The 27,251-nt window shown below is 50.8% G+C and overlaps 2 protein-coding genes and 1 long non-coding RNA gene across 9 annotated transcripts, besides 3 other annotated features; 1 reads left to right on the forward strand and 2 right to left on the reverse strand.

Moving 5' to 3' along the window:
- Window positions 1-1,026: 1,026 nt before the first annotated feature.
- LOC107985074 (uncharacterized) lies at window positions 1,027-24,626 on the forward strand. Of its 4 annotated transcripts, none has more exons than XR_007065902.1 (3): window positions 1,027-1,378; window positions 12,543-12,637; window positions 14,671-14,875. It is a non-coding gene; the product is annotated as an uncharacterized LOC107985074 (long non-coding RNA). The 4 variants fall into 4 exon arrangements; XR_007065901.1 differs by lacking the exons at window positions 1,027-1,378; window positions 14,671-14,875 and adding exons at window positions 23,173-23,233; window positions 24,545-24,626 and having other exon boundaries at window positions 12,402-12,637; XR_007065900.1 differs by lacking the exon at window positions 1,027-1,378 and having other exon boundaries at window positions 12,402-12,637.
- CD300LB (CD300 molecule like family member b) lies at window positions 1,170-11,471 on the reverse strand. 2 transcript variants are annotated; one of them, XM_005257027.4, is made up of 4 exons: window positions 11,307-11,471; window positions 5,744-6,073; window positions 3,575-3,647; window positions 1,170-1,505 (listed from the first exon to the last, which is right to left on the reverse strand). In XM_005257027.4, the coding sequence occupies exons 1-4, from the start codon at window positions 11,455-11,457 to the stop codon at window positions 1,430-1,432; spliced, it is 630 nt and encodes a 209-aa protein (XP_005257084.1). In that variant the 5' UTR covers window positions 11,458-11,471; the 3' UTR covers window positions 1,170-1,429. The 2 variants fall into 2 exon arrangements, with proteins under 2 accessions (XP_005257084.1, NP_777552.3); NM_174892.4 differs by having other exon boundaries at window positions 1,170-2,896.
- Window positions 1,762-1,821: an enhancer, noted in NCBI's record as "active region_12711". NCBI's record gives its function as "activates an Ori minimal core promoter by ATAC-STARR-seq in GM12878 lymphoblastoid cells {active_cell/tissue: GM12878}" and the evidence as "EXISTENCE:reporter gene assay evidence [ECO:0000049][PMID:35858748]".
- Window positions 8,521-8,590: an enhancer, noted in NCBI's record as "active region_12712". NCBI's record gives its function as "activates an Ori minimal core promoter by ATAC-STARR-seq in GM12878 lymphoblastoid cells {active_cell/tissue: GM12878}" and the evidence as "EXISTENCE:reporter gene assay evidence [ECO:0000049][PMID:35858748]".
- On the reverse strand, window positions 14,631-26,111 carry CD300C (CD300c molecule). 3 transcript variants are annotated; one of them, XM_017024033.3, is made up of 5 exons: window positions 25,718-26,111; window positions 24,605-24,943; window positions 22,857-22,983; window positions 17,730-17,919; window positions 14,631-14,727 (listed from the first exon to the last, which is right to left on the reverse strand). In XM_017024033.3, exons 1-5 carry the CDS (start codon window positions 25,776-25,778, stop codon window positions 14,635-14,637), a joined length of 810 nt encoding a protein of 269 aa, XP_016879522.1. In that variant the 5' UTR covers window positions 25,779-26,111; the 3' UTR covers window positions 14,631-14,634. The 3 variants fall into 3 exon arrangements, with proteins under 3 accessions (XP_016879522.1, NP_006669.1, XP_047291113.1); NM_006678.5 differs by lacking the exons at window positions 14,631-14,727; window positions 17,730-17,919 and adding an exon at window positions 21,069-21,732; XM_047435157.1 differs by lacking the exons at window positions 14,631-14,727; window positions 17,730-17,919 and adding an exon at window positions 21,069-21,732 and having other exon boundaries at window positions 24,502-24,943.
- Window positions 18,973-19,473: an enhancer, noted in NCBI's record as "H3K4me1 hESC enhancer chr17:72535116-72535616 (GRCh37/hg19 assembly coordinates)". NCBI's record gives its function as "activates a minimal SCP1, AML or CMV promoter by ChIP-STARR-seq in naive H9 embryonic stem cells {active_cell/tissue: H9 hESC(naive)}" and the evidence as "EXISTENCE:reporter gene assay evidence [ECO:0000049][PMID:30033119]".
- Window positions 26,112-27,251: the final 1,140 nt, after the last annotated feature.

The following is a 27,251-nucleotide window of genomic DNA, read 5'->3' on the forward strand; positions in this document are numbered from 1 at the left end:
TGGTTCTGGTTACATGAGGTAACTAAACTAGTCACACTCATAGAAGCAAAAAGTAAAATAGTGGCAGCCGGGGGCTGGTGGAGGAGTGGGAGGGAGAGTTGCTACTCAATGGGCATGATTTAGTCATGCAAGGTGAGAAAGTTCTAGAACTCTGCTGTACAACAATGTGCATATAATTAATCATATTTTACCACACACCTAAGAGTTTGTTAAGAGGGCAGATTTCATGTTAGGTGTTTTTTGTTTGTTCATTTTTTACCACAATTTTTAAAAAGGGGAAGAAGAAGGAACCCATGTCTGCCTCTCTGGTGAGGGCCCTTCCCGCTGCTATCTCTTTACTGCCCCTAGCCAGCTGCCCTCGGCTCTGAACTTCCTCTGTGGCTATGCAGTTGTTCAGAAGTAAAGGCCTGTGGGAAGGGCCTCATGGGGAAGGAAAAGCTGTGCTTTTTTCTTAAAAGAGCAAGATCCACACCTGCCCACTAACTTTTTTTTTTTTTTTGAGACAGAGTTTCGCTCTGTCCTCTGTCACCCAGGCTGAAGTGCAATGGCACCATCTCGTCTCACTGCAACCTCCACTTCCCGGGTTCAAGTGATCCTCCTGCCTCAGCCTCCTGAGTAGCTGGGACTACAGGTGTACACCACCACACCCAGCTAATTGCTGTATTTTTAGTAGAGACAGCAGTTTTGCCATGTTGGCCAGGCTGGTCTTGAACTCCTGACCTCAGGTGATCCACCTGCCTCAGCCTCCCAAAGGTCTGGGATTACAGGCGGGAGCCACCATGCCCGGCCTCACTAACTTTTGGTTCCATTAAGTGTGAAAATCAGCATATGCCGAATCCTCATGGTCTGTGGCTATTTAAGGGCATGACGGCTTTGGCTCCAAGCTCCCAATGGAAACATATTTGCTGGAAAATGCAATGCCAGCACTAGTGACTCATTTATTGACTTCCGTCTTTCTCCCTACCCCAGAGAATGGGCGTATTAGGCAAGCCTTGCTTGTCAGCTTGTGTTGGAACCCCAAGGGGTATTCCTAGAGATGTGTACAAGGGGTGGTGGTGTAAGGGCGTGCGCGGTGGGTGGTAGTTGGGCAGACAGACAATAGATGCCTACTTTACTCCAGTGGATTCTCCTTAACAGAGCCACGAGAATAACAACCCAGCCACACTAGCTCCAGAGAGATTGACGGATTCATTGAATATCAACAGGAAGAAACGGTGGGAAAAGAATGACATCACGTTGACAAGCGCCCATGTCCCCTCGCCCCTGAGTCCAGCTGGTGAAGCACCATGCTTTGGCTTTCCCTCCCGCGGAGCGGTGCCGTCCTCCCTGGGTCTGGTCGGATCTTCGGGAAGCTGGATCCAGGAAAGCATTCCAGGAGGTAGGGCCCTGGGGCTGGTGGACTGTGGGTCTTGGTCCCTCACAGAATGACTCAGGGGATCTTAGCCGGGCTCGAACTCTCCTCTCTGGCCATTATGGAATTTTCAGGCCCATCATTGGCCAGAGACCTAAATTCAGTTCAAAGTCAGAGAAAGTTTCTCTTTGGCTGAAGGACAAGAAGAGGGGAGGCTCTGGGTGCCATGCTAGGGACCAGAGGGTCCCCTCTCCTTTATCCACTGCTGACAGTCAGTACTCCCTATTAGAACCAAGAGCAGGTTGGAGGCGTCCTCATGGGTGTTCAAAGGGCAACATGCCGAACATGTGTGGTGTGTTTGCTTGTGGGCAGGTGGGGGCGGGAGCACATCTCACATGGGAAGGTCCCTTTGGTGTGAGGGTCCCTCAACCATACAGCACAAAGTGACCACATTCAAGGGCCTCATCGCCGTGGGTGAAGCCTGTGAGGAGACAGAACCACTTCCCTAGGACAGTTTTCATTAGTAACATGATTTCAACATCACCGAAAAGGGAGGGTGCCATTTCCTGCGATGGTTTTCGTTACTGCCCTCCCCACCTGGAGGTGGTTCTTGAGGCCTGACAGGCTCTTTTGGGGAGGAGACCCAAGCTGTCATGCTGAGGAGGCTCCCAAGCTGCAGCCCCTCGGAGGTGGGGGAATAGGCAGGGAGCTTGGGGAGCTAGGAGGAGGAAGAGGTGGGAGGGGGAGGACAAGCACCGGGCCGGGCCAGGGAGGTTCCCATTGCCTCCTCAGCCCTGTGGACTCAGAGCCATGTCCTCCCTGGGGACAGGGTCCATCCAGCCCCTCATGCCCTAGAACCAGGAACTCATCCCAGAATCACCCTCCTTGTGTGTGGGATCAGAGAGGTTTCCTATGAACATAAGTCATTAAAACCCAACTTTGCTAGAAAAAAAAAAATTTAAAAACACGGATATATCAGGTTCTCAGGCAAAGACGGTGTTGAGTTGGTCTCCGGAATGATGGAAGTCTAGGGCTGGGGGGGTCTCCCCCAACCTCTTTCTGTACTTTGGTCCCATGCTCTGTGCCCGAGTTATTCCAGCAGTGGGGACAGAGTCGTCCAGTGCTTGAGCTCCATCTCTACAGCTCCTGACCAAGAGAACAGGTGCTGGCACCCCAGGAGGTGATGGTGGCTCAGGAGAGGACCTGGCTAAGTCCCTGAGCTGTGCAGAACAGGGAGGTGCCCACCAGCTCCAAGGCCAGGGCGGAGGCCCAGGGCCCCTATCTCAGTCACTGCATCCCGAGGACTCGTAGATGTTCCTTCCACAGCCCGAGTCTCTTCTGGAAACGTGGCCAGGGCAGGAAGGCTCTGCAGATCCATCTCTCTAAGTGGCCATGTCTTTAGTCAGAGGTTCGGAGAAGTTCATGTAGATAGGCTGTTCCCCTGGCTCCTCAGGGACCCTCTGAGACCCCTTCAACCAGAGGATGGCAGTGACCAAGATGAGCAAGATGGGCACCTTCACAAATACCAGGAGCATGTAGTGGTTCCTGGGGAAGGGGATGCAGTGGTCAGAGCCCTGGGCATCCCCAGGCCATGTCACTCCCATCCCCTGACCCTGTGAGCCACCAGCCAAAGCCTGTGACCCTGGGCCGGGCAGCCCCACTCTGAAGATTCCTGTAAACCTCCTCCTTGGTTCAACCTCAAGGGGTCCTCCAACAGTCACCTTGGCTGGTTTTGCACGGGGCCCATCTTCCTTTCTAACATCACCTTCTGGGACCCTCTTTGCCCAAAGTACATCTCAGCTCAACAGAAGCGCCAGAGGTCACCAAATACAGGTTGTGTTTCCTGCCTCTGTTCCTGCTAATGCTAGCTCCAGGCTGGTAAATCACCCTTCCTGTTCTGTGTCCCTTGATGTCTTGCACCACAGAGGGTGGTATCTTATCTCCCCCTGGCACCCATTAGGCCACCAATGCAAGGTTGACTGATTGACTGGGAGAATGATGCTCACTGAGAAGAGTTCTGCAGAGCGGTTTTCTGGTGAGAGCTAGAGTGGGGAGATGGTGGATTGCAGTGATGGGGGCAGGAGAGAGATGGAGGGTGGGCTTGGGGCCTTGACTCTGGCTAGAACAGGTGCTGGCATTTGGTGACAGGCAGGAGTTCCCAGGCTTGGCTTCCCCTTAGGAGGGACCCCAGGTAGGGGCAGGAGAAAGAACCACATGACTCACCTCTTGTGGGAGCCGATGAACACTGCCATATTGCTGTTGGTAGGTGAGCTTGCTGTTGTGGAAGCCGCTCCCTCTAGACACAGGCAAAGTCAGCCATGGGTTATTAGCACAGTTGGGAGCTCATGCATGGGTCACAAAGCCACGCGACCCTGCCAGCCCTCACCAGAAGACCCTTTTCCCTGGAGTAGGAGGATTTTTCTCTCCTGCTACAGCCCCTCATGCTTCTACTGAGTCACTTCAATCTCAACACACAGACATTTTTCCTCATCATGTTCAGATGTGGCAAGAAAAATTAAAAATTAAACAGGAGTAAACACTGTAGTTTATTCTGGGAGAGAGAGGTTTTTTCATACTTTCTTTCCACCTATCCTGCAAGTGGGACTATTGGATGGGGAAATAAATTTCTGGTCTTTTCCACTGGAGTGGTGCCTGAGCAGGGCTTAAGGAGAGAAGATTCTGGAAATGGGCTGTCCAGAAATTGGGGTAGTCCAGAAAAAGGGAAAGGGGACTCCAGAAGGCTCATGAAGAAAAGGGCACACTCCAGTTAACTAGAGAACATCGACTATGAGAAACGGAACATTTTTAGGAGCAACCATATAGGCAATTTGTTGGGGGCAGTCTGGTCAGGGGGGCCCTGAGCCCAGCCCAGCACTGAGTATCCATGACCCAACAGTGATCTTTTATTTCAGTCCTCGGCCCCAGCAAATTTTTCTCAAAGGTCCCAGGCTGTCCAGGCACGGTGGTTCACGCCTGTAATCCCAGCACTTTGGAAGACCAAGGGAGGCAGATCGCTTGAGGCCAGGAGTTTGAAACCAGCCTGGGCAACATGGTGAAATCCCATCTCTACAAAAAATACAAAATGAACCAGGCGTGGTCATGTGCCCCTGTAGTCCCAGCTACTCAGGAAGCTGAAGTGGAAGGATTGATTGAGCCCAGGAGGTCGAGGCTGCAGTGAGTCAAGTTCACCCCACTGCACTCCAGCCTGGGCTACAGACTGAAACCCTGTCTCAAAAAACAAACAAAACAAAATAAAACAAAACAAAACAAAAAAGTCCCAGGCTTTGGCCACACTAGGTGGGCTCCTGTCTGAGCTGCAGGTAATTCCAATCACAACAGTTCCTATGGAGCCCCTGATCGTTTTACAGGCTGGTACCCCTGTAGATCCCCCACCCAAGACTCCGGAACATCTCTCTCCCTAAAGCTCCACACTGGCCACTGTTTTTTGTCTCTTTGTACCGCCTGCATGTCTTGCTCAATCCCCTCTCTGCCCCCATAGATATTCTGGGTTTCCCCTACTTGGCAGCCCTGGGGAAGTCTTGCTTGACCCTTTCTGGACTCCTCTTTACTCAGCTGCAGCCACTGTGTCCATGTGCCTCTTTGGTCCCAACCCCAACAGTACACAGGCTTGTTCTAAAGCCGGCATTGTCTATTTCCACATCACCACCAAATGGACCCGAGTGGACACTGAGCTGATGAAGTACTGAGTAGGGGTGTGCGGGTGGAAGTGGGGGTTGGGGGCTGCTTCCCAGACTCCAGCAACAGCAGCAGGATGACCCCAGAGTCTATCAGTAGAGTCCAAGGCATGGAGGAGAAGCCAGGGCACCCAGAGTGGTCCCTGACGTTGCCCGTGATGGAAGCCATCCTTTTGCTTTAAAGCGTCCACTGTCACCCATGCACCTCCCTGGGGCTTTCTTACCCCGTGCTCATCTTACACAGCCAGATAAAGTAGCGGAGCAGGTGGCTGGGGACCTAGAGAGGAGGGTGTTGTAAGACACCCAGAGCTACTCTGGGTTGGTGCAGTTAGTGGGACTCAATACTAGGACCCCCTGGGCAGCTCTAGGTTCCTTCTCTGCCATGTCATGAGCAGGGCTGGGCCACCAGTCACCAAAGCTGAGGTCCCCATTCCCACCCCCATCCCAAGCCCCACCTGGATTCCTTGGAGAGACCTCAGGGACTGAGATAGCAGAGCGATGCTGGCCACCACTCTCCCTTAGTTTCTGTCACCTCCTTCCCAGTCAGTTTGTCTGCCTGTCTGTCTGTCTGTCTCTCTCTCTCTCTCTCTTAGGCTCACCATCATTCCCTTTCAGCCTTGGAGGGGAGCAGGTAAGAGCACTGACTTTCCCAGCCCTGAGCTCCAGGGCCTCCTTGTGTAGATGAGAAAGTTCTTACCTGGGTCAACGATCACTTTCACTTGAGTCCCAAGGTCAGGTCCTCTTCTTTCAATCCCACACCAGTAAACATCTGCGTCATCTCGCCTGAGCCCCTCCATGGTCACAGTGAACGTGCGGTCTTTCTGATTGTCCTTGATGGACACACGGTCACTCTTCTCTCCTTGCTCCGACCCTCTGGTTTCAATGAGGATCTTGCATGTATCCCAGCGCACCCCTCGGCACCACCACTTAATGTAGGTCTCCCATCCTTGCTTATAGTGGCATTGAACCGTCAGGGACCCCTGCTCTGGGGCTCTCACAGACTCTGGGCCTTGGATGGAGAAACAGCCTGGAAAACAGAATCCCAAGATACAGCTCATTGCACCGGCACGAACCCCTGCTCTGGGGCTCTCACGGACTCTGGGCCTTGGATGGAGAAACAGCCTGGAAAACAAAATCCCAAGATACAGCTCCTGTTGCCTGAGCCAGTTTGGTGTTTAAGAGTCCCGAGTGTGTCTCTAGCACACCCGATTCCTCATCCCCATCTCCCTCTCAGTCCATTCCCCCACCAGCTTCTAGACCTGCTTAGCATGTGACACCATGGTCTCCTACCACCTTCTTTCCTTGTCCTCTCAATGCTGTTTTCATCGGAGCCAAATATTTAACAACCAGCCCTCTGGGGGAAAAAATCTCTGGTTTAGGAGCTGGGCACGGTGGCTCACACTTGTAATCCCAGCACTTTGGGAAGCCAAGGTGGGCAGATCACCTGAGGTCAGGAGTTCGAGACCTGCATGGCCAACATGGTGAAACCCAGTCTTTACTAAAAATACAAAAATTAGCTGGGCGTGGTGGCAGTCACCTGTAGTCTCAGCTATGCGGGAGGCTGAAGCATGAAAATTGCTTGAACCCGGGAGGCGGAGGTTGCAGTGAGCTGAGATCGCACCACTGCACTCCAGCCTAGGCAACAGAGTGAGACTCTTGTCTAGAAAAAGAAAAAGAAAAAAAATCTGGTTTTAATATTTGCCAAATTCCATAGTGTAAATACTCCCACGGTGGCAGATGTCAGGTAATCCATGTGATGTCACTGGACACAGAGCTGGGAAAAGATGTCCCAAGCCAGCTCCTGTGAGCCAGCCCCAGCACACTGCGGGGGTACCCAGGGTTCCCTCTCCAGCCTTCATCTTGTCTCACCTGACAAGCCTCCATGGAGGGAGTCTCTCCATTTCCATGGCTTTAATGATTACCTGTTTCCTGATGATTCCCAAATCCATATTTGCAGCTCAGACTCCCCTTAGCTAGCCCACCATTTACAAAGACACACTGGATGTCTCCACCCCAGATTCCTTCGTTGCAGAATTGAATGCACTTCCTCTCCCACCCTGAACTACTCTTCTTCAGTATTTTTTTCTAGTGGAGCAATTGGATGTGGCAAGAGTAACAAAGGCCTGGTGAAAGCTGAACAGGTTAGAGGTGAGCATAATCAAATGGCAGTCCGTGCCTCCGCTGATTGACTCCAGTTAGGCTGTGTGTAGATAGGCTCTTTCCTTGGCAATGACACGGGTTTCTTGATCACGCAGAAGTGGATAAACAGGCAGAGAATCACAGGGGAAGCCTCTCTTGACTGTCTCTTGGCCTCAGAGCTTCAGGCCCAGGCCAGGGGTCTCTGCAGGGTGGAGAAAGCCAGGTCTATTTCTCCAGGCAGATGCCGCCTCCTCACAGCTTGGGCCTTCTCCTTGAAGCTGTGTTAGTTTTCTTGAACTTTGCATTCGTGGTTGGTAGAATAATGTCCCCCATAGCTGTTGGCATCCTCATACACAGAACCTGCGAATATGTCCCCTGACATGGCCAGAGGGACTCTGCCGATGTGATGAAGTTAAGGACCTTGAGACAGGAAGAATATCCCGAATAATCTCCATGGATATTCTAAGTGAAAGAGGGTTGAGGGAGAGTCCAATTGGAAGATGGTCTGTTGCTGCTTTGAAGTGGAAGAAGAGGCCACCGGCCAAGGAAAGCAGATGGCTTCTAGAAGCTGGAAAATGCAGGGAAACAGATTCTCCCCTAGAATAGGGGTTCCCAACCCCAGGACAACAGACTAGTAACAGCCCATGGCCTGTTAGGAACCGGACCTTACAGCAGGAGGTGAGCGGTGGGCAAGCAAGCGAAGCTTCATCTGTATTTACAGCCACTCCCCGTTGTTCAAACTACCACCTGATCTCCGCCTCCCATCAGACCAGCGGCCGCATTAGATTCTCATAGAAGTGAGAACCCTATTGTGAACTTCGTGTGTGAGGGATCTAGATTGCACACACTTTATGAGACTCTAATGCCTGATGATGTGTCACTGTCTCCCATCACCCCCAGATGGGATCATCTAGTTGCAGGTAAACAAGCTTAGGGCTCCCACTGATTCTACATTATGGTGCAGTGTATAATCATTTCATTATATATTATAATATAATAGTAATATAAAGTATACAATAAGTGTAATGCGTTTGAATCATCCCAAACCATCCTCACCCCACTCCTGATGTGGAAAAATTGTCTTCCACAAAACCGGATCCTGGTGCCAAAAAGGTTGGGGACCACTGCTCTAAAGAAACCCAACCCTACTTGCACCTCAATTTTAACCAGTAAGACCACGCCAGGCTCTGGTCTTCAGAAGCATCAATGAGATGATGAAATTGTGCAGTTCTAAGCCATAGAGTTCATGTTAATTTGTTACAGCAGCCACTGGAAATTCACATGGCATTCAATCAGCAGAACCAACTTGATTCTCTTCAAACCAGCAGCTCCACCACCCAGCCTTCAGGAAGAGCTTGGCATCTTCTTTCATGCTGTCCTCTCCTTCAGCCCCCGAGCTGATTGGTAGCCAGTTTAGTCAGCTCTATCCTAGAGATGCTCCTCAGTTTTTTTTTTTCTTCTTTCAGTCTCTGCCATCGCAGGCCACAAGGACAGCATGACATCAGAGAGAGTGTGAGCTTTGATGCAGAAAGACTTGACACTGAACTAGTTGGGAAACCCTGGCAGAGTTGCTTAACCTCTGCAAGTATCGCTTCCTTATTCATAAGACAGTCATGCTACGCTCTACTTTGAAGGTGGTAATAGGACTTGGATGTGTGTAGGCTGGGCAAGGTGGCTCATGCCTGTAATTCCAAAGCTGTGGGAGGCTGAGGCAGGAGGATCGCTTGAGCCCAGGAGTTCCAGACTAACCTGGGCAACATGGTGAAACCCTGTGTCTGCAAATGCAAAAGATTAGCCAGGAGTGGTGGTGCATGCCTGTGGTCCCCACTGCTTGGGGGGCTGAGGTGGGAGGATCGCCTGAGCCTGAGAGTTCAAGGCTGCAGTGAGTTATAATCGCCCACCACTGCACTTCAGCCTGGGTGACAGAGTGAGACACTGTCTTCAAAAAATTATTTATTTTTAAATTTAAAAGAAGACTTGGATGTATGTCCAACGCCAGACATTTGGGGTTTGCTCTGTCAGTGACAGCTCATCAACAGGTCAGAACTTCATCTGTGCCTGGATCATGGCAGTGGCATCTGGAGAGGTCTTCCCAGCCCCAGCAGCATCCTCCCCAACTCTCCTCTCCTGAGGATTATGGCCTTCATAATCTTGTCTTTTGTGTTTCCAACCTCATATCCAACTCGCCACCCCCAAGATGTCCTGCACACTGACAGCTCCCTCAGCTTTCCTCTCCATACTGCTGCCTGAGTTGGGTACTGAGACTGTCTCCTCCTCCTCATCAGCTGCACTTGCCCTGAGCATCTAAAAGTCTTTTCGGGGCCGGGCACGGTGGCTCATGCCTGTATTCCCGCACTTTGGGAGGCCAAGGTGGGTGGATCACCTGAGGTCAGGAGTTCAAGACCAACCTCACCAACATGGTGAAATCCTGTCTCTACTAAAATTACAAAAATTAGCCAGGCATGGTGGCAGGCACCTTAATCCCAGCTTCTTGGGAGACTGAGGCAGAAGAATCACTCGAACCTGGGAGGCGGAGGTTGCAGTGAGCCAAGGTTGCACCACTGCACTCCAACCTGGGTGACAGAGTGAAACTCCGTCTCAAAAACAAAAAACAAAAACAAAAACAAAATACCCAAAAACATAAATTGGATTTGTCAGCAATCACTAACAGCAGAAAAGAGATGCTGCTGCATTGAACAAAGTGTCATCAATCCCAGCTTCAGTCATTCAAACTGTAAATGGCTCACGATGTAATTAGTCCCGTTTAAAAAAATATTTGGGGGTTTCTCTAACCACAGAATATGATGGCTGGAACTATTAATCAGGCTTCTATATGTTGTCAAGAGTTGGTATGAGGAACGATAGAGATGGAAATGACAGGGCAGCCGTCAGCTTGGAGCAGAGCCCCGTTGAACGGGCTGAAGGGTGGAAGTCCAGCCAGGACTGGAGTCGGGTCTCAGAACTCCCCAGCCATGCTCTTTCCTGTTGTCCCTCCGTGGACTGCTCTATCTGTGCCAGATGGTCAGTCCCTAGGCACCAGCAGAAAACTGTGTGGCCCACACACATTGCACACCCTGCGTAAAATTCTAGATTGTCCCCTAATGCCCTCTAGGTGTCCACCAAGGTTTGCCATGGAGAAGATCATCTAGCCCTTCCCACTTTCCACCTGGGTTCTTGAGAAGTTTTTTCTTTGAAAGTCTCAGCTCCTGAGCCTGGCGTGGATGGCCTTCATAATCTTGTCTTTTGTGTTTCCAACCTCATATCCAACTCGCCACCTCCAAGACATCCTGCACACTGACAGCTCCCTCTGCATGAATCCACCATTCTTTCTAAGCCTCCATCTCTCTGCCCAGGTCCCCCAACACACACACACACACACACACACACACACACACACACACACCCAACTCTCTAGAGTGTTCTCCTCTCAGCTCTGCTCCAGAGACTGACCTTCCTTCTACAAGGCACATCAAGTGCACAGCTTCGTGAGTCTTTCTCTAGTCACCAGAGAGAACTGCTTCATCCTCCGCACACGCCTCCACCAATGCCTTATTGTGTCCTGCAATTGCTCATTGTTTATGTGTATGTCTCACCCACTAAGCCATCTGGAGTCTTTTTACTTTATTTTTTTTTTGAGACAAGGTCCCACTGTATCACCCAGGCTGGAGTGCTGTGGTGCGATCATAACTCTGCAGAATTGAATACCTGAGCTCAAAGGATCCTCCAGCTTCAGCCTCCCAAGTAGCTGGGACTACAGGCACGGTCACCACGCCCAGCTAATTTTTGTTCATTTTATATAGAGACGAGGTCTCACCATGTTGCCCAAACTGGTCTTAAACGCCTGGACTCAAGCAATCCTCCCACCTTGGCCTCCCAAAGTGTTAGGATTATAGGTGTGAGCCATGGCCTCAAGCCTGGAGTCTTCTTTAATGGCCAGTTCTCCTCCTCTTTTTTCTTGATGTCCTCAGGCCCCGAAGCACACGATGTCAGTCCCCAGTGCACCTTTGTCGAATGACTTCACAAAGCCACCTCTCATTTCCCTGGATGTGGAAGGACAAATGCCCTCTGCCTCCTGCCCTGCCCCTGTCATACCAAGCGCCCAAGGCCCCAGCCCCACTCACCTGAGAGGCTGAGAAGGAGCAGAGCAGGGGGCAGCCACATGGCTCTGCCTTCCCGGCTCCTCGTCCGCCTGATCTGCAACCAGTGGCAAATGCAGATCCCAGATGCACTCTGGAAGTTCTGCCTGAGCTCTGGCTTGCACCTTCTGCACATCTAGACCGCCTTTGACTTTCTTACTCATTCACTTCCTTTTATAGAGTGGGTAGTTCCTGCTTTTAATTATTAAACGAAAGAGGTGTCATTTTTTGGCAGGGCTGCGCCACAGGGCTTAAGCATCGTCACTATGTAAAAAAGAGGAGGGAGGGGACTGTGCAGGGTCTTTAGGGTAGGGGGAGATACGTCTGCAGAAGGGGTGGGGTGGGGGGCGTCTGGCCTAGCAGGCCTTGGGTCCAAGGGGTATAACACTCTGGGAGTCAATTTCAGAGCTGTTCTATACCACAGTGAACACCCAACTCAGATGTCGGATGGGTCATGCTGGGCACACCTGAACATGCATTTGTTCAGGTGTTATAGCCAAGTGCATAAACATGCAGACTGTTGGGTCAGACAGACCTGGCTCTAACCCCACGAGCACCACCTACAAGCTGCGTGACTGTGGACAATGCAATCAACATCTCTGTGCCTCAGTTATTGTATCTATTAACTGGGCTCATAATGTTTGTTGTTGTTATAGGAGTTATTAAGAAATTATTTTAGGTAGATAGGAAAAGGGGTGCTTGGGAAGATTTTTTTTTCTTTTAAAGCAGCTCCATAAATGTTTCTTGTCTAGAAGAAAAGCCCTGGCTCTTAGAGCTGGGCAGGCAAGCTTTGATATGCAAATACAGGCCATTAGAAACTGCGTCCACCCAAACATGGAGACTCCCGCCTCTTCTTCTTTTCCCCACGTTCCTGGCAACATGGCCGCCCCTACATACACCCATGTGTGTAGAACATCATGGCGCCTGTATTTGCATATTAAAAGGCTAGGGTAGGAAGGCTAGTTTTTTCGTGGGCTACTTGAATGACATACCTGGTCAAACCAATCCCCTGGGCCCTATGCAAATCAGGTACCGCCTCCTCCAGCCTCCTCATATAACTGGCTGTTTTCCACCGTACTCGAGGTTCCCTCTTTCAGCTTGGAGCCCGCCTCCCTCAGTCTCAGAACAGGGGGAGCCTCTTCCTTCCTTCTTTCTTGTCTATTAAATTCTCCACTCCTTAAAACCACTCCACGTGTGCCCATGTTGTTTTATTCAAACCAGTGGGAGACCAAGGACCCTAGTGTTCCTCCAGTCATCAGAGCCATACCATTTTGTTGCATTGGCCGGGAATCCAAGGTACGACACTCATCGGAGTGGTAAGTATGGGAGTGAGCTTAAAATCTCTTCTATCATTCCGAGGCACTCTTAGCCTCTATTTTAAAATAAAATAAGTCAATGGGCATCCGTCAGCCGGGTACATACACTTAGTGTTGGCTGCCATACTGAAGACTCGAATGTGAGGCTTGCTGCTGAGAACACGGAGAACCCCCCAACACCCCTGGGTCATTGGGAATGTTGGCCATGTTTTAAATCAGCTTCTTTTCACGGGAAGACCTCGCCATTGTGCAAGGCTGGGAAAAGTTCTAAGGCAACTAACAATTTCTGGCCAGAGCACACCCTGGCATGATTCAAAGGCCCCTGGACTGGACCCAGCCTCTGGCGGCCCATTCTGGGTGTTGGCAAAGAATCCTCAACTATCTTGTCACAAAACTCTCCTTCCTTCTCTATCTGCGGTCTCTTACACTTTCTTTGTGTGAAATGTGTAGCGAGTTTTACAGCCTAGGAAAGTAATCCTGTTAGGCAAAATCAGGAAGATGCCCTTGCAATCTTCTAGGAACAGAGTTCTCCCCTTTCTCCCACCGTGAGGTTACTCACTACCACGTCTCTAGTGAGCACATAGTATTTCTAAGCCAACAGTGCCACCTAGTAGAAATAGAAATCCTCTACATAAAGCATATTTTTTCATGGCAAACCGCAGCTTCTTTTTGCATGATTAGAAATCAGGCTCGGCCAGGCGCGGTGGCTCATGCCTGTAATCCCAGCACTTTGGGAGGCCGAGGCGGGCAGATCATGAGGTCGGGAGATCGAGACCATCCTGGCTAACACAGTGAAACCCCGTCTCTACTAAAAATACAAAAAAAAATTAGCCAGGCGTGGTGGCGGGCGCCTGTAGTCCCAGCTACTCGGGAGGCTGAGGCAGGAGAATGGCGTGAACCCGGCAGGCAGAGCTTGCAGTGAGCCGAGATCGCGCCACTGCACTCCAGCCTGGGCAACAGAGCAAGACTCGGTCTCAAAAAAAAGAAAAGAAAAGAAAAGGAAAGAGAGAGAGAGAGAGAAAGAAAGAACAAGAAAAGAAAAAAGAAAAAGAAATCAGGCTCTAGGCCTCTTCTTGAAATGGGAAAGTTCTGCCTTTAGCAGTTAGGAGTTAAGAAGTCTTCCATAGCCAAATTTTAGTCTCAATATTGTCCCATTGGCAGGAAAATGGCCATTCGGTTCCTACATTCCTTTAAGGCACCTATTCTGTCTCCGATTAAGATGGTACTTAATTAGTAAGGGGATTTTTAAGTCCAGAAGTTAACCAGAACCATTTTTCTAAGGGTAAATGCTTTAGCACAGGCCATAATAATAGCAAGATATAAAGTTCAATCTAGCACGCCCCCTCCCTTAAAGAGGCTTTGCCCAATTATGTAGTTTTTCTTTTTTTTTCTTTTCTTTTCTTTCCTTTTTTTTTTTTTTTTTTTTTTTTTTGAGATGGAGTCTTGCTCTTGCCACCCAGGCTGGATTGCAGTGGTATGATCTCAGCTCACTGCAACCTCCACCTCCCGGGTTCAAGTGATTCTCCTGCCTCATCCTCCCAAGTTGCTGGAATTACAGGTGCCCGCTACCATGTGTGGCTAATTTTTGTATTTTTAGTGGAGACAGGGTTTCACCATGTTGGCCAGGCTGGTCTTGAACTCCTGACCTCAGGTGATCCACCCACCTTGCCCTCCCAAAGTGCTAGAATTACAGACATAAGTCACCACACCTGGCCCGTAGTTTTTCTTAAAATCGTTGTTTTTTTGTTTTGTTTTTTAGGGAAGCACACAGGTCACACAGGAGGTCAAAAAGAAATAAAAGACTAAGGTGCTTGTGGAAGTGTAAGTGGGCCCAGAAGTCTAGTTTCTCTGGTGCCATGGCTTGGAGGGTCACGCCTGCAGTCATGGCCAGCACATTTAAATGGGTGCCAGGATCCAGGAACCAGGGAAAGAAAATAGTTGGGGGAACGCCCCCTACTGTGTTCTCCATCCTGGATCACATACTGAAAGGAAGGAGACTAAAATAATGCTTTTATTCTCACTTCTCTTTCTAGATGGGTAACAGATCGTCTTCTCTGCACTCCAACCTGGGTGACAGAATGAGGCTTCATCTAAAAAAATTAATATAATGAATCACATTAATAGAATAAAGAAGAAAACCCACATAATCATGTAAACGCACAAAAACCACTATCTGAAATCCATTACTTTTCATGATAAACTAGGAATTAAAAGGTGCCTATAAGCAACCCATTACAACCCATGGCAAAATCTTTCCTTTAGAATCAGGAAGAGGACAAGATTGCTCAAAATCACTACTTTGATTCAACACTTTGATTAGCCTGCACAATACAACAAGAAAGAGAAACAAAAGACATGAGAATTAGAAAGAAAAACAAAGCTCTAAATTATTCTAGATTAATTGATTATCTACATATAAAACTGAAAACAATTACTAAGATTTTTTGCAGAGTTGCTAAATATATATAATCAGTAAGGATCAATTGTTTATCTACATGCATGCAATGAATAACTTGAAAATGCAATAAAAGATGCCACAAAATGGGGCGGGGCGCGGTGGCTCATGCCTGTAATCCCAGCACTTTGGGAGGCTGAGGCAGATGGATCACGAGGTCATCAGTTCAAGACCAGCCTGACCAACATGGTGAAACCCCGTCTTCACTAAAAATACAAAAAAATTAACTGGGCATGGTGGCAGGCACCTGTAATCCCAGCAACTTGGGAGGCTGAGGCAGGAGAATCACTTGAAACCAGAAGGCGGAGGTTGCAGTGAGCCGAGATTGCACCACTGCACTCTAGCCTGGGCAATAAGAGCAAAACTCTGTCTCAAAAAAAAAAAAAAAAAAAGCCACAAAATAAGAATAAAAACATAAAATATCCAGAATTACACTTAACAAATATATGAGCAAATATCAAGGAGAAAATAATAGAATGTTATTAAAAGACATTTTAAAAGCTCATAAATAATTAGAATTACATACCATGTTCATAGACAGAGAAATTATTATAAAGATAAATTTCATACATTTACATTTAAAGTCTCAACATAATTTTTTTTCTTTTTTAGTACGTTGACTGGTTAATTCTAAAATTTCTGCAGAAGAGGAAATGGCCAATATTTGCAAAGACATTCCCAATATCAAAGAACAATGTATAGTGACATGACTTACCAGATAACAAGACATTTAAATACAGCTATAGTAATTAAAACAATGTTGTCTTGGTTCCAAAATAAGCAATTAGGCAAATTCAACATAATAGAGTGGTTAGAAAAAGGTCCAAGCAGACATAGAAATAAACACCTGCCAGGGGTTGCATTGCAGATTGCTGGGAAAATGTGGATAATGCTTATCCAAATGGAAGACAGAAAAATGGATTATTATCTCAGCCTAGAAACAAAATCATTTAGAAATGGGTCAAGGACTTACCTGTGAAAGGGAATATTTAAAAAATTTTAGAAGAAGATATAGGATAATTTTTTTTTAATTTGGGAGTATCCATAATTGGTTAAGCAAGATGAAAGTATAAACCATTAAGGAAAATGAATAATTTGTACATTAAAGTGAAAATCCTGTTTCTCAAAAGATATCATAAAGCCAATAGCCCAGGAAAGTATATGTGGAGCACCAGTAACTAACAAAAGACTTGCAAAGAACTTCTACCAATTGGATCATGAGGTCAGGAGATCGAGACCATCCTGGCTAACATGGTGAAACCCCGTCTCTACTAAAAATTCAAAAAATTAGCAGGACGTGGTGGTGGGCGCCTATAATCCCAGCTACTCGGGAGGCTGAGGCAGGAGAATGGCATGAACCCAGGAGGCGGAGCTTGCAGTGAGCCGAGATCACGCCACTGCACTCCAGCCTGGGCAACAGAGCGAGACTCCGTCTCAAAAAAAAAAAAAAAAAAAGAACACAGACAAACAACAGAAAGTAGATGAAGATTAGAAGAGGCATTTCTCAAAAGAGAAAATTCAGATAACCAAAAAACACATGAGCATGAGTTTAACATTAGTAAGCAGAGAAATTCAAATTAAAACAATGAGATACCATTTCATACCCATTAACTTGAACAAATTTAGAAAGTCTGATAAGATTCAAGCAGGAGCACTGCTGATAAGAAGCAAAAATTGGTGCAGTTACTTTGGAAAATAATTTGCGCTTGCCTAGTAGAGCTGATTACACACATGCAGCAAAACCTAGCAATTATTCCCTTAGAACTCTACTCTAGGAGACACTTTTGGACAGACAAAATTAGGATATATGTTCATAATAACGTTATAAGTAATGGCAACACAAAAAGAAGAGAAGGAAGAAAAGGAGGAGGAGGAAGAGAAAAAAGAAGAGGAGGAGGACCAAGAGGTAGGAAGAGCAGGAGGAAGAGGAGGAAAAAAAGAGGGAGGAAAAGAAAAAAGAAGAAAAGGAGGAGGAGGAGGAGAAGTAGGCAGAAGAGTAGGCAGAAAAGAGTAGAAAGAGGAGAAAGGAGGGACAAGAGGAGGAGGAAGAGGAAGGGGAAGACGAGAGAGAAAGGATAGAGAAAGAGAAGGAGGAAAATAAGAAGAGCACAAAAAAGAGAAAGAAAAGAAACAACCTAAATGCCTGTTTAAGAAAGAGGGATGTGCGAGTTATGGTATGCTCATACAACAGAATGTAGACCAATACAAAGAAGTGACACATCAGTGCGTCAACACATCAACATGGATGAATCTCAAAAATAAAGTGTTGAATGGTCCAGGCACTGTGGCTCACACCTGTAATCCCAGCACTTTCGGAGGCTGAGGCGGATGGATCACGAGGTCAGGAGATGGTAAAACCCCTCTCTACTAAAAATACAAAAATTTAGCCGGACATGGTGGCACATGCCTGTAGTCCCAGCTACTCAGGAGGCAGAGGTGGGAGAATCGCTTGAACCTGGGAGGCAGAGGTTACAGTGAGCCGAGATCGCACCACTGCACTCCAGCCTGGGTGAAAGAGTGAGACTCCATCTCAAAAAAAAAAAAAAGTGTTGAAAGATAAAGTCTGATTGCTTAGAAATAAAAATGCCTAATACTATTCACAGAAAGTTCAAAAATAAACAAAGCTAAACAACATACCCTTTGGAAATCCATATGCATGTATGTGGCAAATCCCTTAAAACAAGATGATGATGAACATAACAATCGGAATGTGAGCCAGGTGCTGTGGTGCATGCCTGTAGTCCCAGCTGCTCCAGAGGCTGAGACAGGACCAAGGCTTGAGCCCAGGAGTTCAAATCCAGCCTGGGTAACATAGTAAGACCCATCTCTATAAAAAAAGATACAATAAAATAAAATGTAGGATGTGGTTTTCTGAGAGAAGGATAGAAAAGAAATTGCATAAGATCAGCAAGCGGTTTGGGGCTTCATGAGTATGAATGATGTTCTATTACTTAAACTGGATGGTGGGCACACACAGGTTAAAGAGTATTCTTGGTGTAAAGTGCATGTATTCTTTTGTGTGTCTGATACATCACAAGAAAAAAGCCTCCAAATCTTCTGATAGAAACATGGATTTGTTGGTCAGAAGGCCATTCCCATATGTAAGAGGGAGTATGTTGCTTGGCGCGGTATTGATGGGCATCAGAGTTACTGTTTCTCACAATCCAGCTGACTCTGCCTCCCCACCGAGCTTCTCTGAGCCCTGTTCACCCACAGGACAGCCCCCAGCTTGTTTAGGAGCAGGGGAAGCTCCAGGAGGATCAGGAGCAGGATGTGGAGACTGCTGAGGAGGGACCTGTGGGGACACGGTGACAGGCAGTGAGTTACCTCCCCAGGGGAAGACCTGGTGCCCTCCACCTTGCCCCTATCTCCAGTGCCAAGGTACTGTGGGCACAAAAATCAAGAACTAACCTGGACATAGCAGCCAGATACATAAGACCAATGGCCTCTAATTATCACCCTAAGAATTGCCTTGAGATTCAGGGCTGTGGGCTGAGGCAGGGCAGGGCGATAGCAGCAATGTGAGGGGACACCCAGGGACCTGGTAGGACCTGAATCCACAAGAATCTCTACCAAAGCCCTTTGTGTGCAGGAGCAGACTCTTCAGAGGTGCAGGAATCAATAACCTGGATATCTGTCGAATGCCTGCTCCTCTCCAGATGGCATTTCCCACAAAGGCAGGAGCCCTGTCTAGTCCTCTTCACAGATAAACTGGCACCTGCCCTGTGGCTGCAAACATCTATCTGTAAAATTTATGGTTGTTGAGCGGCGGCTGCTAGTGTCTGTCCTGGGTCCACTGTGATGGCCAGGTGCCTCCCAGGGAACAGACATGTTGGACAGGCCTTCCCAGGAGGCGGGAACCCAGGTCTGTCCACACTCAGAATGGCTGGTTCTCCTGACATGATGGGCTCAGGGTGTCTTTACCCTGGAAAGGGCAAGGAGGCTAGTCAGATACAGGATTTGCCTCCTGTCTGTCCCGGAGGGCATCACCCCTTCTCCACCTTCTCATGCCTTAAGCATATTCCTTGACTCTCCCAACCCTCTTACAGATTTCCGTTCCTTTCTTCCTATCATGCCCAATAGCACCAGAGGCCGAGCGGAGAGTGACAGGGGAATCTTGGTGGACCTGGCACCATGAAGGGGTCACTGCACCCTTGTCCTGCCCAGCCCTCCCTTCATTTACACTCTCAGGGACAGTGTGCACTGCAGTCATTGGTGCTGATGCCCCCGACTCACATCATGGGACTGTCGCCAGCCCAATGCAATCCCGGGCCTTCCCACCTGCCCAGTGTTCAGGTCTGACCTTGACCCAGCTTGGCAGTAGCTGGCCCTGCCACGGGGACCTGACCTGGTCTCCCCTTCTGCTCTTACTCATCCCTTTCATTCTCCCCACAATGAGCAATGTGACCCCTGACACACACACACGGCCCTGGGGAGGCACTGCTGAACTCCCAATGGCTCCTGCTGTCACAGGATGGCACCCACCTGACCTGGCCTCTGCACACAGGTCCTGGCAGCCCCTATCACCCGGCAAGTGGCTCCAACCTCCTGGCTCCAGGTTCACCTCGGTGCTGCCACCCTCCCGACTCGGGTCTTTGTCCAGACCCTCAACCTCCCACTCCTCTGCCTGCCTCCAGCTGACAGGTTTGCCTGCGTGTTCCTTGACCTTCCTGGGTTATGGTGGCTTCCTTTTTAGGGGTCCTCATGACCCATTTCACATTTCCCTCTTGTGTTTATCACTGTTTTGTTGGTGGGTTTCGTCTGGACTGGTAGCTCATGGAGAACCAGGGCAGTATCTTGTCCTGATCACAGCTGTGACTTGCTGTCATCCTGGGGTCTGCCAAGGGCAAGTCAACAAATTGCTTGTTGAATGAATGAATGAATGCATGACTCTCTCGAGTCTTACCTGCCTTCAGAAAACTTAATTGTCTGATGCTGGTGTGCCATATCCAGCTCAGGCTGGGGAGGAGACAGAGAATGCTATCTGCAGGCCCTGGAGCCACTGGATCCAGAGAGGGATCTGCTTCCTGTGTTTTCCAGATCCAAGTCTAAGATGCCCCCCTGGCAGGACACATGCACCTGCTGCTCTCTCTGCCTCAGGGCTCCTCCTCCAGGGATCCTGGCGCTCACCCCCCTCCTTTCTCCTGATCCCTGCTTGCTCAGCGCCTATTAGAGGGGCTTCATCACAGACCCCTCCACTCCTGCAAAGCAGTCACCCCACTTCTCTTATTTTACTCCGTGGCTCTTTTCACCTCTGTCTTTTACATTACCTCTGGAACATATTCATGTATTTTTGCATTTGTTTATCATTTCTATCCCCCACCTGGAATATGGGCTCAGTGTAAACAGAGCTCCTTGCCTGGGTGTTCACGGCTGGACTCCAATGCCAGGTCAGTGTCTGATACACCAAAAGCTCCCATAAGCATCTGCCGAATGGAAAAAAGGGTTAAGAACCCCCCAGGCGAGGCCCTCCTTGACCAGGAGGACTCATGGGAATCATCTGCCTCACAGGGGTCTTGGGTGTTGGCCAGGTCATCATGGCGACCCTGGAACTGAAATGGTGGGCAAATGATAACATCTTTCGTCTGTATAGACAGACATGGTCTACACTACTGAGCAAAAGACTCACTTAACTACCACATCAAGGAGTCATAGCCCTCCATCCGTTTCCAAATTTGCACCAGTTAAAACCCACAGCCCTGGAATGAAGGAGAGGTCAGGTCCCCTTGAAGAAGGAGGAAGGGTAGGCCTGGTTATGCTACCACAGTTCACACTGAGAATCTTCTACCAGCTCTCCCAGAGGGACCTAAAGACACTGGCCAGGATGTGTCTACCTGAAGGAGGGAATAGTCAGGCTTTGGGGGAAATTCTGGATCCTTTTCTGCAGGGACCCCCATTCCGAGAGGCCTAACATGGGGCTTGGTCCACTATTCTCAGCAAAGGCCTGTGGAAATCAGGGAACAATGGATTTCTCACTCAGGTCTGACTGAGTGGGCCTGATACATCCCAAACCTACACATTGTCATTTATTAAAGTTTGAAAGCATCATTGAATCGACACACTCAGCAAATGGAAGCAGCCGCATATTCTACACTCCTGGACCCAGGGAGTGTGGGCCATTATGGTGGCAAAGGTGCAGGGGAGTCCTAGACCTGCTTCTCCCTGTGAAAACGGTGGAGGAAGCAGTGCCAGGCTCCTGGAGAAATGGAAGGGTGCAGGGAGGGCATCCGGGCACTCAGAGGTATTGCTGACGGCCCGAGGCTTAGCTGGCCGGGGCGTGCACATGAGACGTGGACTCACAGCTCAGGGCGTCCATGTCCGTCAGGTTCACATGTGACACATGAGGATCGGGCACAGGGAAAAGGCTGAAGGAGGCTCACAAAGGATTCCAGGAGATGTGGAGAGAGCAGCCCGGGAGGGAGTGGTCAGGAGGTCATTCCAGTCCCCCAGAGGGGCTCTGTTGCAGCACAGGGCCTTGATGGACAGCAGATGCTACTGGTTCTCACCCTTGGGCCAATTCTGCCTGCTTCTAGAGCTTCTCTGAGGTCTGTTCACCCAGAGGACGGCACCCAGCATGCTCAGGAGCAGGGGCAGCTCCAAGAGGACCAGGAGCAGGAAGCGGACATTGCTGAACAGGGAGCTGTGGGGACACGGTGACAGGCAGTGAGTCACCTCCCCAGGGGAGGCCCAGGTGCCCTCCACCATCCCCTGACCCTTGTGTCCCAATCCTGTGACCACAGCCAACCACATAAGCACCCCCCTGGACAGTCCATCCCGTCTCAGCATCACGGCCCCTAACCCTCAGCCTCGGATTTACCCTTGACCTGAGGACTGTGACACAGGAAGGGCAGGACCATGAGAGGACGTGAGGTCACGCCAGGGATCCAGGCAGGGTCTGTGTCCAGGACGCAGCTGTCTACCTCTGTGCTCCCCATGGAGGGTTACCCAGCTGGGGTCCCGGAATTCACAAAGGGTTATTTGTTTGGTGTCAACTCTCCTGTACACAGCGTTTCCAGGAGGGCAGGGACCATTTGTTTCATTCACAGTGAGTACCTGCTGCCTACCCGGAGTCTCCAATAATCTGCCCTACAACTTCAGTGGTTGTTGAAGGAATTAATGAATGGACAGCTCAGCTCTCAGCTCCTCAGAGGACTGGGCTTATCAAACAGGATGAAACTCTGGCCAGGGCTGCGAGAGAGGCAGGGGAGAGGACCAGGGCCACCGGACCCCAGAGCATCTGCCCCCTTCCCTGGCCTGGCCAGGTCCCAAGGCTCCTCGCAGGACATTTGCCTCACTCCTCCCTCCACCTGGACCCTTCTTCCTCCAGACCCCAGAGTGCCCAGCCCCCAACCCTTGAGGTCTCTGTGCTCATGTCCTCTAATTCTCAAACCCTCTTCTGATCATCGTCAGTGAAATAGCAACTCCAACACCTGCACACGCTCTCCCCAAACCCAAGAGTCAAACATCTCATCCCAGCATTCATTACCCTTTGCTGTATTTGTACATCAGCCTCTGTGCTGACTTGCTCAATGCGTGAATCCACGCAGTAGAACTCAACTTCCACCAGGGCAGGACAGTGGCTGTGTGGTTCCCTGCTGTGACCCAATCCCAAAAGGAGCGCCTGACACTTAATAGAACCTTCACGTTTGGTGTGGGAGGTGCGAACAAAGAAGGGACTGGAAGAAGGGACATCCGAGTCCCCTAAACATCACACGCAGTGGGGAGGCCGCCAGCGTGGCCCAGTCCTATGCGCAGGCACCTTACCCAGGGTGTGGGCTGGGTTCGGGGCTGTCCTTTCTGGTCACGCTGGGCCAGGTGTGCACGGGCAGCTTCGTGGGAGGACCTGAGGTGCCCATGGAGCTCTGGGGGCTGGAGGCTGTGGTCGTCCCGGCTGTGGGTGAAACACAGGTCAACCTTGATGACATCACATGGGTCTCCCACTTACTCTCACCTGTTCTGCTCCAATTTTCACAGACAAGGTCACCAATGATGTGCTGGACAGATGCCCTGCATCCATCATGCCCCACGGCCACACCCAGGCCTGACCAGGGTCCTGGGCCTCTCCTTGTCCCATCCCTAGGTACTGCAGAGCCAGGACACCATTTCAGATGTGAGAGCTGCCCTGCTCACCTGTGGCAAAGGTACGGGTCTCCAGGTTTCACCCCAGCCAGGGAGGGACAGGGTGACCTGGGGGAATGGGGTGATGTTTACTCTGCGAAGGGTGACCCAGAGTGACTGCGAAGCCAGGGCCCTGGGCACAGCAGTGGCTGGAGAGAGGCTGGAAGTGAGGACAGGAAGTCAGTGGGGTCCTCCCTGAACGATGGGACCCGAGTCCACTCAGCCCCAAATGGCAGCCATGCTGCGGCCCCACAAGGCCATTGGACCATCCTCTCAGCAGGAGGGAATGCCCAGGAAGAAAGATCTAGAGAGGGGATGCCCGGTGAAGCCTGGGCGGCGGCCCGTGGTGAATACAGCTGGATAAGGGCCCTTTCCTCCTCTCCCTGGCGCCCTCAGGTGGGATCTTAGCTCCTCACTCCTAGATAGGAAGGCACAAAGGGCGCAGGAGGGACACGTCGCCCCCGGGGAAATGGAGAACAAGAAGATGCTCCGAGGAACCTGGGACATTGTCAGAAGAAAACGATGGAAAAGCAACCACACTGAGGCCACTGGGTTTGTGTCTTGTGAGACAGGAGGGGGCCTTTGAGGGAAGAATGATCTTCGGCACGGGAAAGGGCCCTCAGGTCCGTGCCAGTCTCAGCTCATTTCCATCCACAGGTCCCTTTGCCTGAGGGGGCAATTTCTGGGGTTCCCTCCTGTGGTAAAAGGTGCCAGAGAATAAGGGGGACACACAGGTCAGCCTCAGGGGCAGGATGTGGTTCCCAGGAGCATGAGAACCCCACCCAGGGCTCTGGGGCTCCTTCCTGTGTCCTCCAGTGGCTGCTGCAGGAGCTCCCAGGACAGGGCTGTGAGGCTGCGGCCTCAGGACCCTCCAGACAGGGCGGCATCCATGCAGGCCCCAGGGCAGGGGCAGCCTTGAGTGAGAGGAGCCAATGATGGGGGGGTCCAATTCCCCGTGGGGAAGAGCGAGTTAGACCCAGGCGGGACAGTGGGCACCCTTCAGTATGGATCCGGCCCTTGTCAATACAGGGAGGTAGCAAGGACCCCAGAGTCAGGGGTGGCCTCACAGACCCCACCCAGGAAAGTTTCAGGCCTGAGGCCGTGAGGGAGGGCCCACAGCGGGGGGTCTCCAGCCACAGGGCCAGGGTGCTTTTGTGGGCGCCCACCCTCCCAACACACACATGCAGGTGCACACACACACAAACCACACCACAACTCCTATGCAGGCACGCATACACAAAGACGCACTCACACTCATCCACACACAGCGGCACACAGTGTCCTGACTCACCAACCCCCAGGCTCACACCCTCCTGTTCCACTTCTTTCTTCAGGGACAGAATGACCAGCCCTAGGCTCAGGCAGGCCTGGTGCTGAGAAAAGGAGGGGCTCACCCGGGAACACGGACACCTCAACCTCGACAATGGGATCATGAAAGTCTCGGAGCCACGGTGTATCCACCCCACACCAGTAGGTGCCTGCGTCCTCCTCTGTGAGATTCTCCAGGGTCACTGTGAAGCTGAGGTTTGCAGGACTGTCCCTGATGGACACTCGGCCATTCCTTTTCCCTGCTGACCCTTTGGTCTCCACAATCTTGTCACATCGGAGAATCTGTGGTGGTCTGCACCAGAATTTGTTGAGGGTCCTGTGTTCCTTCTCATAGCGACACTGCACACTCAGGGATCCCCCCACGGGGCCCGCCACGGTCATGGGGTGGCTCAGAGGAAAATAGCCTGAAAAATACAAGCCAAAATCCTGTCTCCTTACCAGAGGGGCCTGGTCAGGGGTGCCGCAGTGTCAGCCCCTCATGGACCCTGGGCGTGTGGAGAAGGCAATGGCAGGCAGGCAGCCTTTGTCCACCCAGGAACAGGGACTGAGGGTGGGAGGCTCCCTCTGTGCAGAGGTGGGAAGGGCATGGGAAGTTTCCATGGAGACTGGAAAGGCAAGGCTAGGGAAACACTGGGTGTGTGCGGGCCTGTGTGTGCATGTGAGTGTGACTCTGTGTGTGTGACTGTGTGAGTGTGACTGTCTGTGTGAGTGTGACTGTGTGTGACTGTGTGTGCATGTGTGACTGTGTGTGCATGTGAGTGTGACTGTGTGTGCATGTGTGACTGTGTGCATGTGTGTGTGAGACTGTGTGAGTGTGACTGTGTGTGCATGTGTGTGAGACTGTGTGAGTGTGACCGTGTGTGCGTGTGAGTGTGACTGTGTGTGTGATCGTCCCAGATAAAATTTGTGATTGGATAACTTTGGCAATGACAGTCACAGCATCACCTCCCACCAGGGCTTCCTGTCTCGGGCACAGAGGAATAGGCCTCCCCCGTGCTGTGCCCTGCCGCCTGCTGTCCCCTGGTGAGGCAGCTGCTGACCGCTCCTGGGTGCTCCTTTGCCCTCCTCCCCTCTCCCTGCCCCACTCCCCTCTATGACCGCTACTCCAGCGCCTGCACCCCTCCCTGCCCTCTCCCACTCAGGACAGAGCTCCCCAAGTCCAGGGTCGGCCCACTCACCTGGGACAAGCAGGAGGAGCAGAGCTGAAGACCGCCACGAGGCCCAGGCCCTGGCAGTCATTCCTGTAACACGAATGTCACCTGCCACTGTGCAAGACCCCAGGAGGGGACAAAATGTAATCTCCTCCCAGCAGATCTGAGCTTCGCTTCTGCTTTTCTTCTGCTCTCTGCTTCCTTGTCCAGCCCTGTCTCAGGTCTGAGGCTGGAGAGGGTCAGGGTACAGGAAGCTCAGGGAGAGAGCCGCCTGGGCTGAGGCCGGTGCTGACAGCTCTGGGATGGTGCTAGTGGCTCCTCTCAACCCTGACGTCTGGCAAAGTCCAGGGTCCCTTGGGTGGCGATGCAGCCACTTCCCCACAGCCCACAGCTTCTGGCTTCAGTGTGTTACTCACACTGCAGAAGGCAGAGCCAAGCTGGGCCATTTCCTACCACATGGGCTGCTCCACCCTCTGTGACATGTCACTTCCTGGTCAGGATGGACAATCTTGTGGTTGGAGGCTAAATCTGCCACCTTCTTTAGCCTTGGAGGTGACCAGAGAGAGGTTGTGTCCCTTAATCTTCAGCTAGGTCCCCGCAGAGACCTCTGCCCCTAAGACCCCCAGCTCTTCTTCTGGCCTCAGAAGTTAGCGCTATGAACCCAGACACCATCTGCATGTCCCTTTTTGGTGCTGAGTCCCCAACCAGGTTAAAATCCCACAGGCTTGGGGAGTTTTCCTCTTGTGCCCCTGCCCCCAGACCTACACACACAGCGGCATCACCCACCCGAGACCCTCCTTTTCCATCTTGTCTTCTTGCCAAAATCCATGCCCCAGTGGGAATCAGGGCAGAGAACTGAGAATAGAGAGAGAGTTCAGACATGTGAAGATGCTGAAGTGGGACTTTGTGGAGGATGTGAGGCTGCGACTGAGCCAGCACACACCCCAGGGCACACGGAGGGGTGTTTGGTGACTGAGAGGACAGTTTGTCATGAGCAGCGGCTGCTGGTGTCTATCCTGGGTCCACTGTGATGGCCAGGGGCCTCCGCAGGGAGCAGACATGGCAGACAGGCCTTCCCAGGAGGCGGGAACCCAGGTCTATCCACACTCGGCATGGCTGGTTCTCCTGACGTGATGGGCTCAGGGTGTCTTTACCCTGGAAAGGGCAAGGAGGCTAGTCAGACACAGGATTTACCTCCTGTCTGTCCTGGAGGGCATCACCCCTTCTCCACCTTCTCATGCCTTAAGCATATTCCTTGACTCTCCCAACCCTCCTACAGATTTCTGTTCCTTTCTTCCTATCAGAGTCAATAGCACCAGTATGTGCACACAGCCATGAGGTTGAGTGGAGAGTGATGGGAGTCTGGGCAAACCTGGCACCATGAAGGGGTCTCTGCACCCTCGACCTGCCCTGTCCTCCCTCCATTTACACTCTCAGGGACACAGCATGCACTGGGGTCATTGGTGTTGATGCCCCCAGACTCACATCATGGGACTATCTCTAGCCCAGTGCAATCCCAGGGCCTCCAATTAGCCCAGTGCTCAGGTCTGGCCTGGGCCTG

The sequence above is a fragment of the Homo sapiens genome, chromosome 17, assembly GCF_000001405.40.
Source record: "Homo sapiens chromosome 17, GRCh38.p14 Primary Assembly".
NCBI classification, from domain to species: domain Eukaryota; kingdom Metazoa; phylum Chordata; class Mammalia; order Primates; family Hominidae; genus Homo; species Homo sapiens.